At 40.6% G+C, this 18,195-nt stretch overlaps 1 protein-coding gene across 2 annotated transcripts in view; it reads right to left on the bottom strand.

Moving 5' to 3' along the window:
* MACF1 (microtubule actin crosslinking factor 1) overlaps nt 1–18,195 on the bottom strand; it is a 402,972-nt gene that overhangs the window by 106,380 nt on the left and 278,397 nt on the right. For both annotated transcript variants that reach the window (NM_012090.5, NM_001394062.1), the window contains 6 exons: nt 12,445–12,611; nt 10,573–10,729; nt 8,163–8,280; nt 2,236–2,298; nt 1,315–1,556; nt 386–515 (listed from right to left, as the gene is read on the bottom strand). In NM_012090.5, coding sequence (NP_036222.3) covers nt 386–515; nt 1,315–1,556; nt 2,236–2,298; nt 8,163–8,280; nt 10,573–10,729; nt 12,445–12,611 — 877 coding nt within the window. The remainder of the gene's footprint in view (nt 1–385; nt 516–1,314; nt 1,557–2,235; nt 2,299–8,162; nt 8,281–10,572; nt 10,730–12,444; nt 12,612–18,195) is intronic.

Raw genomic sequence — 18,195 nt, 5'->3', positions numbered from 1 at the left:
TTTTTCCTTGCTTTTTGTAGAGACAGGATCTTGCTATGTTGCCCAGACTGGTTTGAACCCCTAGCTTCAAGCAATCCTCCTGTCTCAGATTCCCAAAGTGCTGAGATTACAGGTGTGAGGCACTGTTCCTGGCCTCTCTTTGGTTCTTGATCACAGTAGATTACCAGTTTGACTTGCCCAAGAAAGCCAAACTTCTGACTTTTTGAGTGGAATTTCTAATTTTCTTCCCAATTCAGGCTCATGCTCTGGCCCTATCTGGATCCTAATTGCTTATTTATAAAAATTAACTAAAAATAATTCCTGTTTTATAGGATGTGCTGAAATTCTCTACTTGCTTTGAAGACAAGTAACTTAGCAAATTTGTAACACTCTTGTGAAAACTTACTGAGTTCTTCCTGAATTTTCTTCCAATTTTCTGCTTCCTGTGAGTTGGGATATGTCACCAGTAATCCAGCCAGGGCTTCCTTTACTTTTTGAATTTTTGGAGAATTCTGTTCCAACTCAGCCAGGAAGGCCTAGGAGAAAGAATGCCATGCATGCCATGAGATTCTGGACAGGAAACAAAGTTGTGTGTGTGGTAGAAATGATTGGAAAACTGGGCAGTTATTATAGACTCTACTAGGATCCTATCAATGACTTGTTTAGTGGTGTTAAGATACTTAACCCTTCTACTTCAATTTTTATTTTAAAATGAAAATCTAAATGGCAGGATCTGAGTTTCTTTTATGTATAATACATCAGTAGAACTCAATAAGAAGGAATTATTAATCAAAATAAACTAAAAATACCAAGATATGATGATAACATATCTTGAAGGAGATGAGATGCTACGCTCAATGGGAATATTAAAAGTTTTGGTGAAACTTGCCTACAGGATTTTCTGTGGTCTTATATCTTCTGACATTTTTCCTAGTCTCACATGTCAATCTTAAGAATGAACTGTAATCACTGTTATTTAGATCCCTCTAAGAATTGGAAAGATACTTTGATAAGAATGGTTTGTCTTGCTTACAGCATCATATAGAAAATGAGATCCCATTCTCAATGAGCTAACGATTCTGGGGAGGGCTATTCTTTTTCTGCAAACATACCTGGTTTTGTTTCTGAATCTAACTTATAACAATTTCTAATTTCATAAGAAAATTCTCTAGGAGAGTTAAGGCATATTAATCATTTAGAATGTCAAACATACTGCCCATCACAGCCTAGATTGTTGCCCATGTCTCTCTCTCAGATACCTGGGCTTGGGCAGGAACACTGGTACAGCTGTCTCTTCCTCTTGGTGTTGGGAGGCAACTAATGTAAACACAGTACCTTGTTAGATTCAGCTTGGGCTTTCACTGTTTCTGTCTTGGTTGGAGATGACATGGCATCCATGGATTTCAGGACTTCCTCTTTTGATTCCAGCCACTGCAGCACAGAGTTTGCCTCCTTGTGAACCTCCTCCATTCTGTTGAGGATAGCCTGAAGGCTTTCCTGGCGTTCATGAAGTACTCCCCCTAGTTTCTCATACTTCAAGTTTACATCTGACATGTCACACTGGATCTCCGTCAGATCTAGTATCATAGAAACAGAAATCAGATTGGAGACAGCTCTTCGAGTATGCTCCTTGACTCCTCACTCCTAAATTACTTGCATCTCTCTTACTCCTTCTAGTGAATTAGAGATTATCTTCCTGCTAAATCATACAAAAGTTCCCATTTATATACACAAAACAAAAGCATTCTCATTAATCTGCTTTCTGGTTTTGGCATTATATACTCAGATGTATACCTTAAAATGCTAAACATGGGAACAACAAAAGTGAAGGGAGCAAAGTAAGAAATTAACCTTAGTTTACTATTGGGATTAAGGGACTTGGAGCATTCTTCCATTCCTTCTTCTCCAAACTACAGAGAAGTCACCTAGCTGGGAGGCTGAGAGCTAGACTAGATTATCTCTAGTATAACTTCTTTATAATTCAAAGATTAACATATATTTTCTTTGAGTTCCTTCCCTATTTGCCTTATCTAGTGATCCAATCTATTGTATTTCTACAATACCTTTAGCTTCAGGGGCTGCCAACCTGTTTATGGTCTATAGCCAGCAAACCACAGTTGCTTCTCCCCAGATTTTTATCCTCACACCCATTCTGGCAGCAGTTCTTCCACCACATATTGCAACATACACAGATGCAAACATAGACACTGTCCTAACACATCCAACAAAGAAGCACTGTTGAAATGGCATTCTCACCTTTGCAGGTGTGGTATCCGTTTACACTGCCTACAGAGCTTCCTACAGAGGGCAGTATGGAACCTGAGCAGAAGGACAGGGAGACAAACAGGGCAAGACCAACGTGTTAGGAATACATATAGGCACTGAATTTGTCCTTTGGCCCTCACTTTAAGCTTAGGTATCAGGAAGTTAACACAGCACAAGACAACATACTCATGGAAAGAGACAAATTATTTTAGCTGCCAGGCAACAAAACGTCACTCAAGGTTCTTAGCAGGAATGATTCTTAATCCCTTCTAGAGGAAATTCGTATTCCCTTTTTATTAAATCTCCAACTTGAATTCTCTGGATGCCGCCCTAATTTTGTGAAGCAAGTACTGGTAAAATTATTCAGTCTAGAATGGTACTTGCCATATTTTGGAATAAGCTTTTATAATAAAGCCAGAAAGTTTCACCTTTTATATCAATATCTTTCAATATAATAAAAATGAAAATACCATTAAGGACAGAAAAAGCAGCCTTTTTTTTTTTCTTTTTTGAGACAGAGTCTCACTCTGTTGCCCAGACTGAAGTGCGGTGGCATGATCTCGGCTCACTGCAACTTCCACTTCCCAGGTTCAAGCAATTCTCCCATCTCAGCCTCTCAAACAGCTGGGATTACAGGCGCCTGCCACCAGGCCCGGCTAATTTTTGTATTTTTAGTAGAGACGGGGTTTCACTATGTTGGTCAGGCTGGTCTCAAACTCCCGACCTCAGGTGATCTGCCTGCCTCGGCCTCCCAAAGTGCTGGGATTATAGGCATGAGTCACCGTGCCTGGCCTAAAAAGCAGCCTTCTTCTAATAAAGACATTAAAATGAGCCCTTCTTATATTGTTTTTAAAGGAAGATTATTTGCCTTTTCTTTCATAACCTCTTCTTGCTCACCTTTCCCCAAGAAAAAACAGAAATCCTAAGTGCCAATAAATCTGGCTCATCAACATTCTTATAAATTGTGCTTTGGGCCTTTGGTTCTGTTTCTAATCACCATAATTTCACATACATTCTCCCCAAACTGATTCCTTATATTTCAGAAGTTTCCCAAGATAGGTAAAAATCAGGTGAGGTAATGATAAATATTATACAGAAATCTGAAAAATATTCATAATGATACTTTAAAAGGACAGAAAACTCTCATATGCACTGACTTCACTGTACAAAAAGTCATGTGCAAGGTTATATTACAAAATAGTTGGCCGGGCGCGGTGGCTCACACCTGTAATCCTAGCACTTTGGGAGGCTGAGGTGGGTGGATTGCCTGAGCTCAGGAGGTTCGAGACCAGCCTGGGCAATACGGTGAAACCCCATCTCTATTAAAATGCAAAAAATTAGCTGGGTGTGGCAGCGGACGCCTGTAGTCTCAGCTACTGGGGAGGCTGAGGCAGGAGAATCGATTGAACCCGGGAGGCAGAGGTTGCAGTGAGCCAAGATGGTGCCACCGCACTCCAGTCTGGGCGACAGAGCAAGACTCCATCTCAAAACAACAACAAAAACAAAATAGTTGTGGGCCAGGTGTAATGGCTCACGCCTGTAATCCCAGCACTTTGGGAGGGTGGAAGTTTAAGACCAGCCTAGGCAACACGAGACCCTGTCTCTACAAAAAAATATTAAAAAAAAAAAAAATTAGTCAGGCATGACAGTGCACATTTGTGGTCCTAGCTACTCAGGAGCTTGAGGTGGGCTGATTGCGTGGGCCTAGGAGGTCAAAGCTACAGAGAGCCATGATCACACTACCGTACTCCAGCCTGGGTGACAGAGCGAGACCCTGTCTCTAAAAGGAAGGAAAAAAATTAGCTGAATTAGGGTGGTGATTATAAAACTTTTAAATGTTAATGTTATTATATTTTCGATTAAAAAATACAAAATAGAAAAATAACATTCCATTGCAGTGTGGTGATGCAAAAAAAGAAACTGGACTAGTAGGTGGGAGAAGACGGTACTAACCAAGGTTGTCACTAACTCAGTATGTGAGCCTTAATCTACAAACACAGTTTATTCTGCAGGATTTAAAGATAATACAACCTATCCTGTTAACTCTCATGGGGTAACTGGGAAGAGATCATGAGCGAATGTATATCAAAGTACTTTATGAAACGGAGCTAGATAAATGTAAGGAACTGAAATATACATGGTTTTTCAGAGTTGGAGGAGAACTTTGAGAGCACTCAAGATAGTAATTTTCAAACTGATTTTCAAAACACCCTAAAAACGTGCTTTAGGGATTGTGTTTAATGTTTGGTTTAAATGTAATATTCACATAAATTTCTAAGTACTTAGAAATGATAATAAAACATGCATGTTCAATTATGCTGAATTCTACACCTTAACCCACCAGATAAAACCAATTATGCTGCTTTTCTGGGGAAAGTAAAGCAGCTCCTGACACATCTAAGCATCTATTTTAAGTTATTTTTGAGTGTCCCTGATTGGAAAGGTGGTAGCTCTTTACCAGCAATTTATGATATTCAAACCTGTCCATGTCCACTCATGTATACTATACAAAGAAAAACATCTATAGCACATGTGTAATACATTAAATAACACGACCAAAAATATAACACGACTTGCTCTCTGTACATCTACACAGTTCTCATTGTGGCAGAATTGTGTAATAATAGAATTCTTAACACTTCAAGTCAGTTGGACAGTTTTTGTCCTCAATGTCAGTCTTAAGTGTTTTCTATGTGTAAAAGCCCTCATTAAATATTCTTAGTGATTTAACTTTGAAACAATAATTTCTTATTACATCACTTTCAAGTTTCTAGCTCAATTCAATCAAAGCCTGTTCTGACATTGTGAAGTCAACTTTCAAAAACATTTGTCATCATTTGCAGTTACTTAATCTGTGTGAACCATATTTTCTGGATACAATGAAACCAAACAAAATTTAGAAATAAATTAGATAGGCTGGGCCTGGTGGCTCACACCTGTAATCCCAGCACTTTGGGAGGCCAAGGCAGGTGGATCACAAGGTCAGGAGATTGAGACCATCCTGGCTAACACAGTGAAACCCTGTCTCTACTAAAAATACAAAAAATTAGCCAGGCGTGGTGGCAGGTGCCTGTAGTCCCAGCTACTTGGGAGGCTGAGGCAGGAGAATGGCATGAACCTGGGAGATGGAGCTTGCAGTGAGCCGAGATCGTGCCACTGCACTCCAGCCTGGGCAACAGAGCGAGACTCCGTCTCAGGAAAAAAAAAAAGAAAGAAAGAAATTAGATGGTGAAGCTGTCATCCAATAATCTTCCTTTTCAAATTTTTATATTCGTTAAGTTAGTCTCAATATTCTTACTGATGGATTTCATAACAGATAAATGCTATAAAATAACATATAAGGGAAACTTACACCAACAAAATGGTTTCTTTTAATTTTTATTATTTATTTATTTATTTATTTTTGAGATGGAGTCTCGCTCTGTCACCCAGGCTGGAGTGCAGTGGTGCGATCTCAGCTCACTGCAAGCTCTGCCTCCCGGGTTCATGCCATTCTCCTGCCTCAGCCTCCCGAGTAGCTGGGACTACAGGCACCCGCCACCACACCTGGCTAACTTTTTGTATTTTTAGTAGAGACGAGGTTTCACTGTGTTAGCCAGGATGGTCTCGATCACCTGACCTCATGATCCACCCGTCTCGGCCTCCCAAAGTGCTGGGATTACAGGCGTGAGCCACTGCGCCCGGCAGCCAACAAAATGTTTTGTTTTACGTAGTAGGGTTCTATATGAGATTTCTGTTCTATATGAGATTTCTGGTTTTTTTTTAAAAAAATGATCTAGTCTAGGAGTCAGTAAACTACAGCTCATCAGTCAAATCTGGCCCTTTGTTTCAACAAAGTTTTACTGGAATACAGTCACAACCACTCATTTCTATTAATGTATTGTCTTTGGCTGTTTTTGTTACAATGGCAGAGGTATATGACTGTGACAGAGACCATATACCCTGCAAACCTAAAATAGTTACTATCTGGCCCTTTATAGAAAAAGTTTGCTGACTCTGATTTAGTCACACGAATAAGTCACTGAACGTAGAGGTTGATATATCACCAATTCCCTGAAATGTCACTTGTGGATAGTTCCAAAATATCTTTTAACTTTAGAATACTATAGAAAAGTACACATTTTCAGAAAGCAAATAAATTTTTCCTTTACTCGTTAAGTGACTATAGGAGTGCACTATCACAGACTAGTAATAAAACTTATGTGATCTCAATTAACAACGAGCAAGTGACTGGGAACTCACATGAGATTTTGTTTATTTATTTATTTTTTTTTAGACAGAGTCTCGCCCTGTCGCACAGGCTGGAGTGCAGTGGCGCAATCTTGGCTCACTGCAACCTCTGCCTCCCGGGTTCAAGCAGTTCTCCCACATCAGCCTCCTGAGTAGCTAGGATTACAGGCGCAAGCCACCATGCCTGGCTAATTTTTGTATTTTTAGTAGAGATGGGGTTTCACCATGTTGGCCAGGCTGGTCTTGAACTCCTGGCCTCAAGTGTTCCACCTCCTTTGGCCTCCCAAAGTGCTGGGATTACAGGCGTGAGCCACTGTGCCTGGCCTTCATATTAGATTTTGCTTCAAAGACTTAATTTGCAGTGAAAGATTATATACACATCTGGGCACAATCTTTGTACCCCCTTTGAAGTACTGATTTTTTTTTTTTTTTGAGATGGGGTCTCCGTCCGTCGCCCAGGCTGGAATACAGTGGCACGATCTTGGCTCACTGCAACCTCTGCCTCCCGGGTTCAAGCCATTCTCTTGCCTCAGACTCCCAAATAGCTGGGATTACAGGCACAAGCCACCAGGCCTGGCTAATTTTTATATTTTTAGTAGAGACAAGGTTTCACCATTTTGGCCAGGCTGGTCTTGAACTCCCGACCTCAAGTGATCAGCCCACCTAGGCCTCCCAAAGTGCTGAGATTACAGGCATGAGCCACCATGCCTGGCCCAACACTGACTTCTAAATACCTTGCTTCTTCCTGGATATCACAATCATACCTACCCAGGCTTTCCCAACTTTTTTTTTTTTTTTTTTTTTTTTTTTTCCTGAGATGGAGTCTCACTCTGTCTGTTGCCCAGGCTGGAGTGCATGCACTGTCGTGGCTCAATGAAACCTCCACCTACCAGGTTCAAGCTATTCTCCTGTTTCAGACTCCCGAGTAGCTGGGACTATAGGTGCGTGCCACCATGCCCGGCTAATGTTTGTATTTTTTTTTTTTTTTGAGACAGAGTCTCGCTCTGTCTGTTGCCCAAGTTGGAGTGCAGTGGCGTGATCTCGGCTCACTGCAAGCTCCGCACCATTCTCCTGCCTCAGCCTCCTGAGTAGCTGGGACTACAGGCACCCGCCACCATGCCTGGCTAATTTTTTGTATTTTTAGTAGAGATGGGGTTTCACCGTGTTAGCCAGGATGGTCTCAATCTCCTGACTTCGTGATCCGCCTGCCTTGGCCTCCCAAAGTGCTGGGATTACAGGTGTGAGCTGCCGCACCTGGCCTAATTTTTGTATTTTTAGTAGAGATGGGGTTTCACCATGTTGGCCAGGCTGGTTTTGATCTTCTGACTTCGTGGCTGGCCAGTGCCCAAGTTTAAAGATGATGCTTACCCATCCCATTTACACATTCAAAAAAGGGAAATTCTCAAGATGAAAATCTCATTTTAATTATTCAGTGTTCATTTGATAGTTCTAAGTGGGACAACTAGTTCATTTACTTTTTCCATCATGGGAAGGAATTTTGCAAAATGGAGCAATGTTATATAGCAAAAGGGGTGACAGGTCAGGTTGCAGGGGAAGACTGCTTTGGGCATGCCCTTTGTTTTCATATCCAACCTTGATTTTCACTTTAATTATATAAGGAGGCATCTCCAAAGGCCAAAAGCAAAGAGCAATTTTTATTCACTATATTTTGAAGAGCCTGTACTCACCTGTCTTGCCTTGGGAATCAGGTGCTGTGATTTCCATGATGAGATTTTCTAAAGAAGTACCTTTGCAATTGATTTCTTCCACCAGAGTTCCCTTACTTGCCCAGTCATCTAGTAGACTCTGTTTAAAGAAGAAAATGGCCAAATGTAGTATCTGGGGCTTTTTCCTCATAAGTAGGGACATCTGTTCTGTATATACTCCCTAGTGTTTTGAAAAGCATTAAGAGACCATCCTTCTGATTTATTTATTCATTTATCAAATATCTATTGAACATTTACTATATGACTGGCACCATGCCAAACACTGGGGTACAAAATAGAATTATGATACAATTTCTAAAACCAGAAGCTCAGATTATCAATTGCATTATAATGTGATAAATGCTATTACAGTATTATGGACAGTCTGTGAATTCCAAGAGCATAAGAGGAGTTCTATCTAATTCTGCCTAGAGGAAGGAAAGCTCTGAATTAAGATAATGGCTGGGCATGGTGGTTCACACCTGTAATCCCAGCACTTTGGGAGGCTGAGGCGGGCAGATCACTTGAGGTCAGGAGTACAAGACCAGACTGGCCGACATGGTGAAACCCCGTCTCTACTAAAAATACAAAAAAAAAATTAGCCGGGCGTGGTGGCAGGCACCCGTAATCCCAGCGACTCAGGGCGCTGAGACGGGAGAGTTGCTTGAACCTGGGAGGCAGAGGTTGCAGTGAGCCGAGATCATGCCACGGCATCCCAGCCTGGGTGACAGAGTGAGACTCCGTCTTAAAAAAAAAAAAAAAGCAAAGAAAGATAAGAGTTTGCCAGATGGACAAGAGGGAACAACATGCATATAAAGATAAAAAAAGAAATGGTAACTAGAGGATAAATAAGGAGCTAGATATTGAGATACAGAAAAATACATAGAATCATAGGCTATACTTTGCATTTATTAAGGAAACTTTATATTGGGTTTGAAATCAAAGATCCAACTACCACAGAAATCCGTCAGGAAACAATGGCATTTGCTCTAAGACAAAAATACCACATCACGTTAAGTCTCCAAGATGTCTCCTGCCATAGTTGTAGGATTTTACTCCTTTCAGAGAAAGGACACCATTCTAGCCTTCATTGCCCTCCTCCATACTGAATATCCCTGACAATCTACTTAGTTTGCTTTTGACTTTAAGCTGCAGAGAAAGGCACAGAGCTCTACTCATATTGCCTAATTTCAAACTGACCCTTGGTCACTGCTTGTCAGTTCTTTAATTAATCACTCTTTTTTTTTTTTTTTTTTTTTGAGACAGAGTCTCACTCTCTATCACCCAGGCTGGAGTGCAGTGGCACCATCTCAGCTCACTGCAACCTCCACCTCCCAAGTTCAAGCAATTCTCTGCCTCACCCTCTTGAGTAGCTGGGATTACAGGCACCTGCCACCACGTCCAGCTAATTTTTGTATTTTTCGTAGAGATGGGGTTTCACCATCTTGGCCAGGCTGATCTTGAACTCCCGACCTTGTGATCCACCCGCCTCGGCCTCCTAAAGTGCTGGTATTACAGGCGTTGAGCCACTGCGCCTGGCCATTAATCACTCTTGATTCCAAAGAGCCACAGTCCCCAAACTATGGCTTTACTCACAGAATATTTTACATTTTTGAGGAAAATACAGTGACATCTGTTGAACACCATATGAACAACTACTAAGTTGTTTGGACCTAACTTCTTAGCAAGTAGAAGTATTAGGAGTTTTTTTTTGTTTCTGTTTTTTTTGGCCTTGAGGTGCCATGACAAATTTCTTAAAACACCATGGGCACTGTGAAACAAAAATGTTGGGAAAGCTCTGTCCTAGGGAATTCCCAACAGCAAATGCTCCTGGCACTCACTCTGTGAAAGCAATCAAACGCTTTTCTTTCATCTGCTCAGGATGAAGTATGCTTTACTGAGAAAATAAGGATAAGTGCATGACAGTTAGTCAGAGGCATATTTGGCTTATTTCAACAAAAGGAAGACATAGGTTAGAGGTGTAAGCAGAGGCTGGATAATTACGGATCAAAGACAGTACAGAAGGGATTTTGCAGGGAATGGGAGGAAGGTTGGTCCCATCCTTGAAGGTACCTTCCAACCATCTGATTCTAGCTTTTCCTTTACTAGCTGAAGTAGTACTAGTTCTTCTATCCTCAATTTCCTGATCATATTATCTGGTTACTTGCTCAAATATATTTGTCTAATTCTCAAACATACAAAGAGAGTGTATGCTTCTCAAGGACTGTATGGGTAGATGGTTATCATATGAAGAAAACGTAGGAATTTCTGTTCTGATGCAGACTGACAACTTGGATTTCTCATACATTTCCCCACCACAGCTGGAGACCAGTTAATACAAGTATTCAAACCAGTGCCTAGCCCAATTCTTGGAGTCCCTTTGTTCACCTACCTTCAGGTGTTCAATCTGCTTTTCTAACTCTTTAGCACTCATAGAAGTTTCCGTAGGTGGAATACTCCCTTCAGTTTCTTTCAACCATTTCTGGAAGGTCCTGACCAGCTTCCGGAATTCATCCAACTGTTCCTGGCAAGATGATGCATCTTTCTCTCTGTCAATGAAGCAGTTTTGTTACTTGCCAGACTAAGTTTTATAAAGTCAACTTGAGCTAAGAGTAGTTCATTCTGTGACTCCAGACATCAGTTACCTAACATGGCCTTTCTTTCTCATAATCTTTTCCATAGCAGGTTTGGCTGAACAACCGCATATAACATTGAAGCGTACCAAACTCAGGAATATATTGCCCTTGTTTGGACATTTCTGGGGAAAGAGGTCTTCAATCTTACTCTAGGCTAAAGTGAAAGTGAGAAAAACTAAAGGGAGGCTGCTATTTAGGTACTGTGATACAATGGAAAGAATGCAGGCTTTGGATCTCAATTCCGGCCCTGCTACATTTTAGCTATTTGACTCTTTCAAGGACCAATTCAAGTGCTGATTGCTTTAGCAAGGAAGGTGCCGAAACTGAGGCTCACAGAAGTTAGGTGATTAGTTCTAGATTAATGATGCCAATGAATAAACTAAATCAAAAGGAAAGTTTTGGAAATGGCCATATCTATCAGACAGATGTCAATCCAGAAATCCTGATTCCTCATACAGTAAAAAGGCCCTCAGCATAGGGGAAGAAAAACAAAAGCTTTCTTGACCTTTGTCCCCATCCTCTCCATTAGATAACCTGCTGCTAATAATGTTGGTTTGAGCAACTCTTTTCTTCTAATCACTAAGGCAGTTATCTGCTAAATCAAGATCATATTTATCGCTAAACTTAGATAAGAAGTCTTGTTCATGCTCTTAAATCTATGTGAGGCTGTCCAGTGAGGAATCATGGCTTTTCAACAGGGACCAAAATCAGCCAGCCTTGTCATATATTCCCTTGTTTGCCTTGAAAGAAGAATCCAGATACTCTTCTAAAATAGCAACTTAAATGTGGTCAAAACAAGCAGGGGGTCTGGGCATAGTGGTTCACACCTGTAATCCCAGCACTTTGGGAGGCCAAGGCAGTAGGATCGATGAGGCCAGGAGTTCACAAGTAGCCTGGTCAACATAGCAAGACCCCATATCTTTAAAAAAAAAAAAAAAAAAAAGCCAGGGGACTGCCAACATCACCCTTAATTATGTCTAGGAAGTCTCTTCCAATTTTTCTCTTCTTTCAAAATTATTCTGTAATCTTACTTGCTGCCTCAAATTTGTTCTGTTTGGTCCAAGTGGCCTAGGCTTCTGATCACAAAGAGAGGGAACTCATCCCTACTTTCTATTAGTTACTATTAGAAAAACCACTAAGTGGCTGGGTGCAGTGGCTCATGCCTGTAATCCCAGCACTTTGGGAGGCGGAGGCAGGTCGATCACCTGAGGTCAGGAGTTCGAGACCAGCCTGGCCAGTGTAGGGAAACCCCGTCTCTACTAAAAATGCAAAAATTAGCTGAGCATGGTGGTGGGCGCCTGTAATCCCAGCCACTCAGGAAGCTGAGGTAGAAGAATTGCTTGAACCCAAGAGATGGAGGTTGTAGTGAGCCAAGATGGCACCACTGCACTCCAGCCTGGGTGACAGAGTGATACTCAGTCTCAAAAAAAAAGAAAAGAAAAACCACTAAGCATCAAGTAGATGAGGTAGCTTTGCCTAAAAAAAGGCACTTTTCACCCTCCTACAACTCAGTAGTAGAATTTTAGATGCCATCTGTTCTGGTAAAGGAAGAAAAGAGAAAAGATCATTTCACTCCATAACAAGAAAAAATAGTTCCCCAATGCTGACCAACACAAGTGATAACTCACCTCTCTTTAACTGTCTTCTGTAGCTCTGTGAAGTCTTTTCTTAGATTCTGTACCCTGTCCTGATGCTGGCACAAGTCCAGCGCAAAGCCACAAGAGCTCAGTTCAGTGACCAGGTGCTCAAGAGTATCTAGGTTCTCCTGTTGGTCTTCCATTTCCAAATTGAGCTCCTGTCAAGCAAACAAGGAAATGTATTAAATCCTCTAATCCTTATAAATATACTCTAAAAAGGAATAAGGAAAGAGGTATGCTTGCCAGGTCAAATGCTAGATCAAAACAATAAATATGCAACTCAGTGAAAAGTTTAAAAAAAACAAACAAACATTTTTTTTTTTTTTTTTCCTTTTGAGACAGAGTTTTACTCCTGTCATCCAGGCTGGAGTACAATGGCGGTATCTTGGCTCACTGCAACTTCCGCCTCCTGGGTTCAAGCGATTCTCCTGCCTCAGCATCTCGAGCAGCTGGGATTACAGTCTCCTGCCACCATGCCCAGCTAATTATTTTTTGTATTAAAAAGCCCAATTAAAAAATCTGATAAATATGTAGGACAACTTCAATCCACTGGAGAGTGGCTAGGAATTACAAAACAGTCTTGTCTCCTCTAAACAAACGTTCAAAGACTTGGGAGGTACCATGACAGGACGTAAAGAATGAAAGTTTCAGGAGTCAAATACACCTCACCTGAAATTCAATCACACTTTGCCACTTACCAACTTGTGATCTTAAGCTACTAAACTACTCTAAGCTTCATGGTCTCTTCTATAAAATGGGGGTAAACACACTATCTCCACTATTATTTAACATTATACTTAAGATATCAGCCAGGCCCAGTGGCTCACGCCTGTAATCCCAGCACTTTTCGGGGCCAAGGTGGGTGGATCACTTAAGCCTAGGAGTTCAAGACCAGCCTGGGCAACATGGCAAAACTCCATCTCTATTTTTTAAAAAAAGTTAATTTAATAATTAAAAAAAAAACAGCCAATGCAATTAAGAGAAAACAATCTGTGGAGTAAGAATTGGAAAAGAAGAGATAAAACTGTATTTGTAGGTCACATGAAAGTATATTTGTATGGCCAGGCACGGTGGCTCACGTCTGTAATCCTAGCATTTTGGAAGGCCAAGGCAGGCCCATCACTTGAGGTCAGGAGTTCATGATCAGGCTGGCCAACATGGTGAAACTCCGTCTCTACTAAAAATACAAAAATTAGCTGGGCATGGTGGCGCACTCTGTAGTCCCAGCTGCTTGGGAGGCTAAGGCAGAAGAATCACTTGAATTTGCGAGGAGGAGGTTGCAGTGAGCCAAGATTGTGCCACTGCACTCCAGCCTGGGCAACAGAGTGAGACTCCGCCTCCAAAAAAAAAAAAAAAAAAAAAGGCCAGGCATGGTGGCTCATTCCTGTAATCCTAGCACTTTGGGAGGCCGAGGCAGGAGGATCACTTGAGTTCAGGAGTTCAAGACCAGTCTGGTCAATGTGGTGAAACCCTGTCTCTACTAAAAACACAAAAATTAGCTGGAAATTGCTGGAACCCAGGAGGCGGAGGTTGCAGTGAGCCGAGATTGTGCCATAGCACTCCAGCCTGGATAACAGAGCAAGTCTCTGTCTCAAAAAAAAAAAAAAAAGTATATTTGTAAAACCCAAGATAATCAACAATAAAACGAAATCAAACAACGAAGTAGTTAAACAAGGTAGCAGGCTATAAAATTAACACACAAAAATCAATAATGAAAACTTCAACTTACTATAGCAACACAAAAGGCTCAATCTTAGTAATCAACTAACAAGAAACACAAAATCTAAATTTTAAAACACTTCTGAAATTGGGTGCAGTGGCTCTTGCTTGTAATCCCAGTTGCTGGGGAGGCTGAGACTCCTGGGAATCACTTGAGCCCAGGAGTTTGAGGATGCAGTGAGCTATGATCATGCCACTGCACTCCAGCCTGGGCAACAGAGCAGGACCCCATCTCAAAACAAAAAAGAACAAAAAAATCAAAAACACTCCTGAAAAACACAAAAGCAGATCTGACTAGATGGAAACACATCCATAAAAGTGCATGCGTATGTATTTGCTTATGTATGTATATGTGTTTGCGTGAATGAATACATTTAGTGTGACCCACATAAAAATGCTAACTTCTCTAGAACTAATGAAGGTGATTCCTAAATTCACATAGAAAAATAAATGTGCAACTACACCTATGAAAAACTTTGAAAGAAAAAAATTGAGGAGGACTAGCTCTCTACCACACATTAAAATATACCATAAAGCCTCTATAATTAAAATAGTATGCTCTGGTACATGAATGGAAACACCAGCAAAACAGAATAGAAAATCCAGAAATAGGCCAGGTGAGGTGGCTCATGCCTGTAATCTCAGCACTTTGGGAGGCCAAGGTCGGTGGATTACTTGAGGTCAGGAGTTCGAGACCAGCCTGGCCAACATGGTGAAACCCCGTCTCTGCTAAAAATACAAAAATTAGCCAGGCGTGGTGGCAGGCCCCTGTAATCCCAGCTACTTGGGAGCCTGAGGCAGGAGAATCGCTTGAACCTGGAAGGCAGAGGTTGCAGTGAGCCAAGATCATGCCACTGCACCCCAGCCTGGGTGACAGAACAAGATCCCATCTCAAAAAAAAAAAGAAAAAAAAGAAAATCCAGAAATAGACTCAAAGACATATAAAAATTGTGTATATGATGAAGATGGTTTCTTAAATCTGGGGAAAATATGGACTTTTCAAATAAATGATACAGGTTGGATATCCTTTATGCTTGGGACCAGAAGTGTTTTGAATTCCAGACTCTTCCAGATTTTGGAATATTTGCATTATACTTAGCAGTTGAACATCCCTAATCTGAAGCTCTGAAATCTGAAGTGCTCCAATGAGTCTTTCCTTTGAGCATGACCTCTTGAGTGTCATGTCAGCTCTCAAAAAGTTTCAGATTTTGGGCTGGGTGTGGTGGCTCATGTCTGTAATCCCAGGCCTTTGGGAGGCTGAGGCAGGTGGATCACGAGGTCAGCAGATCGAGACCATCCTGGCTAACATGGTGAAACCCCATCTCTACTAAAAATACAAAAAAATTAGCTGGACGTGGTGGCGGGCGCCTGTAGTCCCAGCTACTTGGGAGGTTGAGGCAGAGAATGGCATGGACCCAGAAGGCAGAGCTTGCAGTGAGCTGAGATCGTGCCACTGCACTCCAGCCTCGGTGACAGAGCAAGACTCCGTCTCAAAAAGAAAAAAAAAGTTTCAGATTTTGGAGCATTTCAGATTTTGGATTGGGGCACTCAACTTCTATTATGAACAACTAGATAGACATAACAGAAAAAGGTAACATGATTCATACTTCAGAATAAGCTTAAATTGTTAAAAGATTCAAATGTAAAAAAAAATTAAAACAAGTTTTAGAATAAAGCATGAATAAATTTTTTCATAACCTGGGTGTGACAAAAATCTTTCAAACTATGACTAAAAATACATATTTAATAAAATACTCATAAAATCTTCTATGTAGAACAAAAATTCCACATTTACGGCCGGGCGCGGTGGCTCACGCCTGTAATCCCAGCACTTTGGGAGGCTGAGGCGGGCGGATCACGAGGTCAGGAGATCGAGACCATCCTGGCTAACACGGTGAAACCCCGTCTCTACTAAAAATACAAAAAATTAGCCAGGCGCGGTGGCAGGCACCTGTAGTCCCAGCTGCTCAGGAGGCTGAGGCAGGAGAATGGCGTGAACCCGGGAGGCAGAGCTTGCAGTGAGCCGAGATCGCGCCACTGCACTCCAGCCTGGGCGACAGAGCGAGACTCCGTCTCAAAAAAAAAAAAAAATTCCACGTTTACATGGCAAAAAACACCATAAGTCAAAAGCACAATCTGGGAAACAATATTTCTAACATATCACAGATAAAGAATTAATCTCTCTAATATATAAGAACTCTAAAAAAAAAAAACTTTAAAAATTGAGAGAAAACCAAAAATCTTTACCAAAAAATGACAAAATACATGAACAGATAGTTCACAAATAAATGACTCTTAAATGTAAAAATACACTCAACCTCGCTCATAAGAGAAATAAAAATTAAAACCACATTCACATATCATGTTTTACCAATCACACCAGAAAAAAATTAAAAGCTTGATAATAAATTTTGTTGGTGAGGCTATAGGGGAAACAGGTACTCTAATACACTGCTGCTGGGAATGCAAAATGGTGAAATTTCAATGGAGGGGAATTTGGCTATTTCTAACAAAACTATACATGTATTTACCCTTTAATGCAACAACTCCACTCTAGGAACTTATTCTGAGGATACACTTCCAATATTATGGGAAAAAATACACACAGCTATTCAGTAGTAATAGCACAATTTCGGAAACAACAATTCAAATTTCCACCACGTATGAGTCTTGTTGGCCAGGTGTGGTGGCTCATGCCTATAATCCCAGCACTTTGGGAGGCCGAGGCGGGCAGATCACTTGAGGTCAGGAGTTTGAGATCCTGGCCAACATGGTGAAACCCCATCTCTACTAAAAATACAAAAAAACTACCCAGGCATCGTGGCAGGCACCTATAATCCCAGCTTCTTGGGAGGCTGAGGCAGGAGAATCACTTGAACCCAAGTGGAGGTTGAGGTTACAGTGAGCCAAGATCGTGCCACTGCACTTCAGCCTGGGCAACAGAGCGCAGAGTAAGACTCTGTCTCAAAAAAAAAAAAAAAAGAAAGAAAGAAAGAAAGAGTCTTGTTGATTAAACTGTAACTCTTCTACACAATGAAAGTATGGTTTAAAAAACAAAGATCTCTGTGAATCCATATTAAGTGATTTCCAAGACATATTAAGTAAAAAAGCAAAGGATTACGTAATATACCCTTCTTTTTTGTAAGGAAGAATGGAGAATAAGAATGTGTGTGTATGTTCATTTTGGTAAAAAGGAATAGAAAAAAATAAACCTGAAATGTGTTACTATGGGGATGGGTGAAAATGGGATGGAAGAGACAGGAAAGACAATGAGAATATATCCTTATTCACTTCCTATACCTTGAGTATAACTTTTTGAAGAGTTTTAACTTTTGACCTATGTTAATGCTTTACATATTTAAAAATAAGTTTAATCAACAAAGGTAGAAAAATAAAGTCCTAAAGTTGAATACAAATAGAAACAAATCTAATTATATAAGAAATTACAGAAAAAATAATTCAGGTAATTTTTGAACACAGTACATAGTGGGTCATAGGCTAAGGACAAAAACAAATCCAAAGAAATCTTCAATTTTATTTAGCAGGTTTGTTATTGGTAGAAATACTAATGTAATTCTAAAACTATCTTATATTTATTGTAGAATAAAACAAATAAGTAAATATATTAAAGTTGCTGGGAACTAGGGTTCTCCCTACAGGAAAGGAAGATACAAATGTGGAAAGGAGGAAGATTCCTATGGTGTTGCGTTGAGACTAGACTATCAGTATGATTTTATGATATAAGAAACATACACATATATTTCCTAACACTATCTATTAAAAAGAACCTAAAAGTAGTGACACTCCAGTAGCTCATCTAGTGTCCAGATTTGGTTTCTAAATATCATTCCCCACTAAAAGTGGGACTCCTTGGATAAATAGCTGATTTCAGATAGGGGACAAGGAAATACATTATTGTGCCACAAATATCTTAAGTTCCAAAAGTGCTCTTATGCTGAGGAAGACATGTCAAAAAGCCACAGGAGACAGCTTGAAGAGGCTCCCACCGACCACATTTGGGAA

The sequence above is a fragment of the Homo sapiens genome, chromosome 1 (assembly GCF_000001405.40).
Source record: "Homo sapiens chromosome 1, GRCh38.p14 Primary Assembly".
NCBI lineage: Eukaryota > Metazoa > Chordata > Mammalia > Primates > Hominidae > Homo > Homo sapiens.
This window is presented reverse-complemented; position numbering and strand designations above follow the sequence as displayed.